Source organism: Homo sapiens, chromosome 20, assembly GCF_000001405.40.
Source record: "Homo sapiens chromosome 20, GRCh38.p14 Primary Assembly".
NCBI classification, from domain to species: domain Eukaryota; kingdom Metazoa; phylum Chordata; class Mammalia; order Primates; family Hominidae; genus Homo; species Homo sapiens.
Genome location: NC_000020.11, coordinates 50,921,862 through 50,928,650, shown reverse-complemented (window position 1 = coordinate 50,928,650; position 6,789 = coordinate 50,921,862). Strand labels below are relative to the sequence as shown.

The 6,789-nt window shown below is 39.3% G+C and overlaps 1 protein-coding gene across 10 annotated transcripts in view, besides 2 other annotated features; it reads left to right on the top strand.

Moving 5' to 3' along the window:
- Positions 1–6,789, top strand: part of ADNP (activity dependent neuroprotector homeobox) — a 42,520-nt gene that overhangs the window by 2,787 nt on the left and 32,944 nt on the right. The gene's annotated exons all lie outside the window — the stretch shown is intronic.
- Positions 2,201–2,701: an enhancer, noted in NCBI's record as "H3K4me1 hESC enhancer chr20:49542487-49542987 (GRCh37/hg19 assembly coordinates)". NCBI's record gives its function as "activates a minimal SCP1, AML or CMV promoter by ChIP-STARR-seq in primed H9 embryonic stem cells {active_cell/tissue: H9 hESC(primed)}" and the evidence as "EXISTENCE:reporter gene assay evidence [ECO:0000049][PMID:30033119]".
- Positions 2,702–3,202: an enhancer, noted in NCBI's record as "H3K4me1 hESC enhancer chr20:49541986-49542486 (GRCh37/hg19 assembly coordinates)". NCBI's record gives its function as "activates a minimal SCP1, AML or CMV promoter by ChIP-STARR-seq in primed H9 embryonic stem cells {active_cell/tissue: H9 hESC(primed)}" and the evidence as "EXISTENCE:reporter gene assay evidence [ECO:0000049][PMID:30033119]".

Below are 6,789 nucleotides of genomic sequence, written 5' to 3'. Positions count from 1 at the left end.
GTGGGTATATTCATTTTGGAGGGTGGGAACTGCAGCAACAGGGAAGCCAGAGACTTCCTTCTCCTTGGTCACCACCAAAACCAACACTTCCAAAATTTCAGCCTAGCCACATTCCTCAAGGAACCGGTTAGAGCTGGTTGCAGTAGTGGGTTCTGAACACTTATTAACATAAGAAATTACTTACAGCTTTTTTAAGAGAAATTTTTACAGATGCTAATATTGTAATCATTTGCATTCTACACCCCTTTGTATAAAGTATAAGTATTCAGTTACTATTACTTTGATAACCCAATCTCTAGAGTTGCTAAGCTTCTAAAAGCCTTAAATGTCTGATGAAAACATGGTTTTCCATGAACTTGTTCTTGCTACCAAAGATTGACAGTGGTTGATGTTTGTGGGTACCTTTAAGACTTTGTATGTTACATAAATACACCAAGATAAGTTTATGGAGAACTGAATGGGTGTATTCTTTGATACCTAGTTAACCAGTTGGTGCTTAACAGGAGAATTTTTCATTGGAGAATTGCTACCAGGTAACATTTTGGTGAGTGAAAAGGAGGCCCTTTGGTACAGGTATTTGACTAGAGACATTGCTTCTACAATTTCTTAGTCATTGTGAAAAATCACATATTTAAATGGGATTATTTAAATTTTTAAATACTGTATAGTATTTGTAGGCAGGTATAGTTTTTATCTTTATTTGGTGTTTTATATGCAGTTATTTAAGTTCTGAAAATGACCATATAATTTGAAGACAACTTATTTGACGGAATGTTTGAAATGAAGTTTGTTGAGGGGCTTTTGTTTGATTTAGCGAATGGGATACAGTGTTGAATGATGTCCTAAGTGGTAACAGCCATTTTCCCTTAAAGGAAAACTTGCTGTGAGCTCTTAGAAAGCATGTATTCTACTGTTTCAAAGGTTTCTTGGTTTTAACACTCAAAAAATAAGGTGAGGCCAGGTGAGGTGGCTTACGCCTGTAATCCCAAAACTTTGGGAGGCTGAGGCAGGAGAATCACTTGAGGCCAGGAGTTCAAGACCAGCTTGGGCAACATAATGAGACCCTGTCTCTACCAAAAAAAAAAAAAAAGTGAAACAATTGGGCTTGAAGACTGGAATTTATAGTAGGTAAACTATATACTTCATTAAAGTATAGTAAAAGGTTCAATTAACTAGAGTGTGGGGAATGGGTATTCTGTTTAACTGAACTTTAAGTAGAAATTCCTTTTTTATCTTGGCCTTTGTTGAAAAATTTCCTGAGACTAGCTTATTAGGAGCTATATATTGAAACTAACCTCTTTGATTTTGGTTTTTATAGTTCCTGTATAGAAAATATAGGAGATTGGGCTGAAAATCTCTTAATGACCCTTGGCCCTTCCAACCTTGGAAGTCATTGATTTTATACATGCCCACTGTGAATTTGCTTTGCTTTGCTTAAGTTTATCTTTTTCTCCTTATACCAGAGTGCAGGAAGAGTTTTAATACTATTTATATTAAAATAAGAACTTCACAACCTTGAACAGATGGTTTTGGTACCACTTGCAAGTAACCAACCAGTAGGCTTTTATCAGGCAAAAATGGCTTATTATTTATATTTGATTATTAAAAGTATAGGTATATAAGGCATACTATGTGAAGTTGTTGCTTTCCTTGTAACTACTTACACGTTTTGAAAGTATTAAAAAGTTAGTATTTTGAAAACTAAAATACTCAAGTTTATTGATTAAATAAGATGATGCTGGCTACAAATTTTATTTTGAAAATTGCAACTTAATAAGGAAGATAAAGCTGTTTTGTAAAGGAGAAAGTAGAGATTGATACTTCATAGGGTAAAAAAAAGAAAAACTTCAGCATTTATGTTTCTTCTTTTGAGAATCATATATAAGTAACAAAACTGCATAAATTGCAATAGACCTAGGTCACTTGATTTCACAATTGGGTGTGTGTATGTATGTACACATACATATAAAATATATGTAGGTTTTCTAGAGCTGGAAATGATTGTCATATTATTAAATACAGATGAAAAGTTCAAGTATCACGTGTAGTTTGGGGAAAGTACATTTAGTTTTGAGATGTAGTTTGGGGACAATACATCTAAGTGTAGTAAAAAAATACCAGAATTAAACTTTATGTATGTATTTTTTCCAAGTAACCTATTTAAATCTTAGTGAAATAAAGATTTTTAAAGTAATATGAAAGAAAAAAATAGGAAGTTTTTATTTTACAACATTAGAAGCATTATTGTGGTTTACACCAAAGTACCCATGACTGTTGTGTAAATAAGCTACTTGTTCAACCTGGAGTTCCAAAGGAGTTTTTAAAAGAGCATCATAAAGTCAGTTATGTCTTACATAAGGTAAAATAACTTTCAGTGGGAGTTTAACCTTCATTCTCTTGACTGAGAGGCATGTACATTAAGAGAAACATTGCTCCCCTATGTGTAAATAATTTAATTATAGTTGGATTCACAGAGCTTGACTTGTTATTAGCATCGTATAAACTTAAAGTTTTTCCTCCCCTAGTTTTTGTGTGTTGTTTGTTTGTTTGTTTGAGACAGTCTTGCTCTGTCTCCCAGGCTGGGGTGCGGTGGCCCAATGTCGGCTCACTGCAACCTCTGCTTCCCGGGTTCGAGTGATTTTCCTGCCTCAGCCTCTGAGTGGTTGGGATTACAGGTGCCTGCCACAACGCTTGGTTAATTTTTGTATTTTTAGTAGAGATGGGATTTCGCCATGTTGGCCAAGCTGGTCTTGAACTGCTGACCTCAGGTGATCCGCCTGCCTTGGCCTCCCCAGGTGCTGGGATTATAGGCGTGAGCCACCGCTCCCAGCCCCTCTCCTAGTTTTGTAAGAGCTTGTGATAGTAACTGGAGTAAATGCCGTATTTTGCTGATGTACCTCACTGCCAGTTAACACCTTCTATGTTGTTAGTTTGGAAACTCGGTGTTTGAAACTAGTATAAACCAAAGCCCCATGCTAATTAACTGAATTGATACTTTGAATGTAAAAGCTGTTTCTTGTTTTTACTTTGGCACTTTCCACCTTGATTGTTGAGATACTTTATTTGATAAACCGTCCATGCTTTGCCCATTGTGGGTGGCCATTGTGATTTCATGGTTTTTTGTTGTTTGTCTGATCCTGTTTATTAGAAAGTGAGGAGAGGATGATTATGTTCCTTCATCCTCTCAGTGTCTTAGTACTCCCTACACCTGCGTTATGTTATGACCTACCTTTGCGATCTGCCAGTTTTGGGGTCAGCTTAAGTGAGAATTCATATTCTGCTTCACTGGAATGAGAAGGCTCTCCTCACATATTATCATGCTTCTCAAGTTGGTATATATGAGCCAACTTGATTATGTAGTGTGTGTGTGTGTGTGTGTGTGTGTGTATAGGAAGTCACAGATAAAAATTGAGCCAACTGTGGAAAGTGACAGTTTTGATTGCAGGGCACACGTTTTTTTATTCTAATCAATGAAAAATGCAAAATTCATATTACTGTTTTTAGTCCTGGGTCCTGTCATCTCTGTGTATTAATTCAGTCCTCTGCCTTAAGGAGTTCCTTGAGATTTCACTCACAAGCTTTGGTATTATTGATCCCTACCTTGGTTCCAAGACAGCAGCTAGAGAAAGCCTGGAACCTCTCAAGAATTTCAGCAGTGTTCTGGAAATAAAGATTTAGAAAATAAGAGGAAAGCATAGACAACGTTGGATGGAGTTTACAAAGGGAAGCCTGCTCTGAATATATGCCACAGTTTTAGATTTAAGTTAAAGATTTAATTTAAAAGCATACACGTAATCTAAAAGAGTCATGCATTATTTGACCAGCTGTTAGAATTAAAAATGAATCTGCATATCCTAATACCCTCTTCAGTAAGGGTATAGATTTGTAATTGAGTCACTTAGCTGTGGGTTGTGTTTATATGTCACTTCTCATGTGACTGTGATGACTTTAATAAGGATGTGCTGCTTAAGTGTAAAGGCCCCCTTGCTGGCCTTTATGGTATTATAGTATTGGTGGCTTGTCTGTTTTATTTTCCAAGCACTTTATAAACTATTCCCAATTTTCTCAGGACTATCCTTGTTTCACAAGTAGGGAAATCAAGGCACTACCACATACAATGATGAAATGAGCCACAGAGTATGTCTGGGCTGGTTCCCAGGCCTGTGCTTGCAACACAGGCCTTTATGGTGCTCTTGTAAGCTGTTTGGCTAATGGGGGCTCACATGAATGCTTCCCATTTCACAGTGAGGTTTTATGCTTCCATGTGAGCTTAAACCCAAGGATTCCAATGGCGTCTACATGTAAAGAAGCTAGCCACACCCCCAGCAGGGAGAGTATGGGTGTAAATTGTGCAGGTGGCAGTTAATTGGAGTAGCATATTTCTGCTGGGAAGTTAACTGTATAAGAATCTAAAAAGAAACGTTGTTTATGTTCCCTTTTCTTTTCCCAGTTTTTTAGTTTAAGACAGTCAGTCTGTCCTGAGCAGTTACTTTTTTCTTAGATAATTGCTGGCTTTTACCCTTTCTTTTTCTGAATCCTTCATGCTCCATTTAAGAGCTTGTGGAAACCTGTGCTTCAGTTGACAATCTGTAAAGCTCTGCTCTTCTGGTGGAAGCTCATGACCTGAGAACCTTTTGAGTGGTCTCTTTTGAGAAACTCCTGTCTAGTGGAAATATGGTGGAATTTATTAAAATTTTCAATTCGAATTATAAATTTAGGTTGACAGAATCCTTGCTCTTGTGAAAGAAGTGAGCTGAGACTGGGAGTATCCAAATGCAAGAAGTGCTCAGAATCCTGCTTCAAGATCAGTTACACTTAAAAACAGCAACAAGAGGATGGGTGCGGTGGCTTACATCTGTAATCCCAGCACTTTGGGAAGCCAAGGCTGGCGGGTCACCTGAGGTCAGGAGTTCAAGACCAGCCTGGCCAACATGGTGAAACCCCATCTCTACTAAAAATACAAAAGTTATCCTGGTGTGGTGGCACTCACATGTAGTCTCAGCTACTTGGGAGGCTGAGGCAGGAGAATCACTTGAACCTGGGAGGCGGAGGTTGCAGTGAGCCAAGATGGCACCACTGCACTCTAGCCTGGGTGACAGAGTGAGACTCAGTCTCAAAAAAAAATAAAAATAAAAAACAGCAACCAAAAAAAATGCAAATAAAACTTCTCTGAGGAAAGTGTGAAAACTTGAGCCATCAAGTGGCAAAACCTGGTACAAGAACGCTTTTGAAAAGCTACCTTCGGTGAAGCCTTGATCCTGGGAAATGGCTTCGAAAAACTTGAGAACATAGTTTAAATATTCTGTTACTCAAGAATAGTGAAAGAAATATATTTCCTATTGTGGGAAATTATTTCTGAGTAGTTTCGGTAGAGCATAAAAATGTATTATTAGGGGATCAAAATAACGTTTTATGTCATTTAGATACAAAGACTTGGCATGCTTCTGAAATAATTTATAAATGGACATATCTGCGTGTCCTCTTGTGGTGTTGTGATACATACTGGTTTTCATCCACCACGGTTCCTGGCTCATAACACCCATAACCCCATTACCGTGTTTTGTTATAATATAGGGTACGTTAGGTCTCAGAAAATAATCTCTGATCTTCTCCTGCTCTCCTTACACGTGTCCCAAGGCAAGATTCTGATCTTTACCCAGCTTTCTGATTGTAGGTCTTGAGATCCTCTCTAGAGAGAGGGTGTTGGCCCTATACCCCGGGGAAGGGAAGTAAGGTTTCCTATATGAAGCTTTTATAAAAACCCAGGAGGGCCAGGCGCGGTGGCTCACGCCTGTAATCCCAGCATTTTGGGAGGCTGGGGGCGAGCAAATCACAAGTTTAGGAGTTTGAGACCAGCCTGGCCATCGTGGTGAAACCCCATCTCTACTAAAAATACAAAAAAAATTAGCTGGGTTTAGTGGTGGGGGCCTATAATCCCAGCTACTCAGGAGGCTGAGGCTGGAGAATTGCTCAAACCCGGGAGGCAGAGGTTACAGTGAGGCGAGATTGCACCACTGCACTCCAGCCTGGGGGACAGAGTGAGATTCTGTCTTTAAAAAAAAAAAAAAAAAACGCAGGAGGACTGGGTTCAGAGAGCTTCCAGATAGTTGAACACACCTGGAGGGTGGCGCCCCCAGAGAGGGTATGGAAGCCCAGTGCCCTTACGCATTTCTTTATCTGTACTTTTTATAATAAACCGGTAAACATAAGTGTTTCCCCAAGTTTTGTGAGATGCTCCAGCAAATTAATAGAACTCAAGGAGGGGGTCTTGGGAACCCCAGCTTGAAGTGTCAGTCAGAAGTTCTGGAGGCCCAGACTTACAGTTGGAGTCTGAAGAAGGAGAGAGCAGTTTTGGGGACTGAGCCCCCATCTTGTGGAATATGACACTGTATCCAGGTAGACAGTGTCAGAACCAAATTAGAGGATACTCAGCTGGTGTCCGCTGCTTGGGAAAAAACCCTACACGTTTGGTCACAGAAGACAACTTCACGACTTCTGTGTGGTGTGAGGGCAGAGGAAAAACAAAGTTTGAGAGTTTTCCCCTAAAGCACCCCTTAAGGGCTACTTGTGAATTATTTCCCTTTTTCACATTGATCTTAAGCCAGATTGTCCACTTACAGCGACAGCAAGTGGCTGTATGCCTGTGGAGTTCTTATGTAGGCAGTGGAGTGCTAGAATCACTCTTTATGCTGTGTCCCTGCCTTGCTGCAATACCTGTTTAGAGTGAAGTAAACTGGGAAGTGCTCCTCACCTCACACTCTCCCTAAATCTAAATTGGTATATTATAAA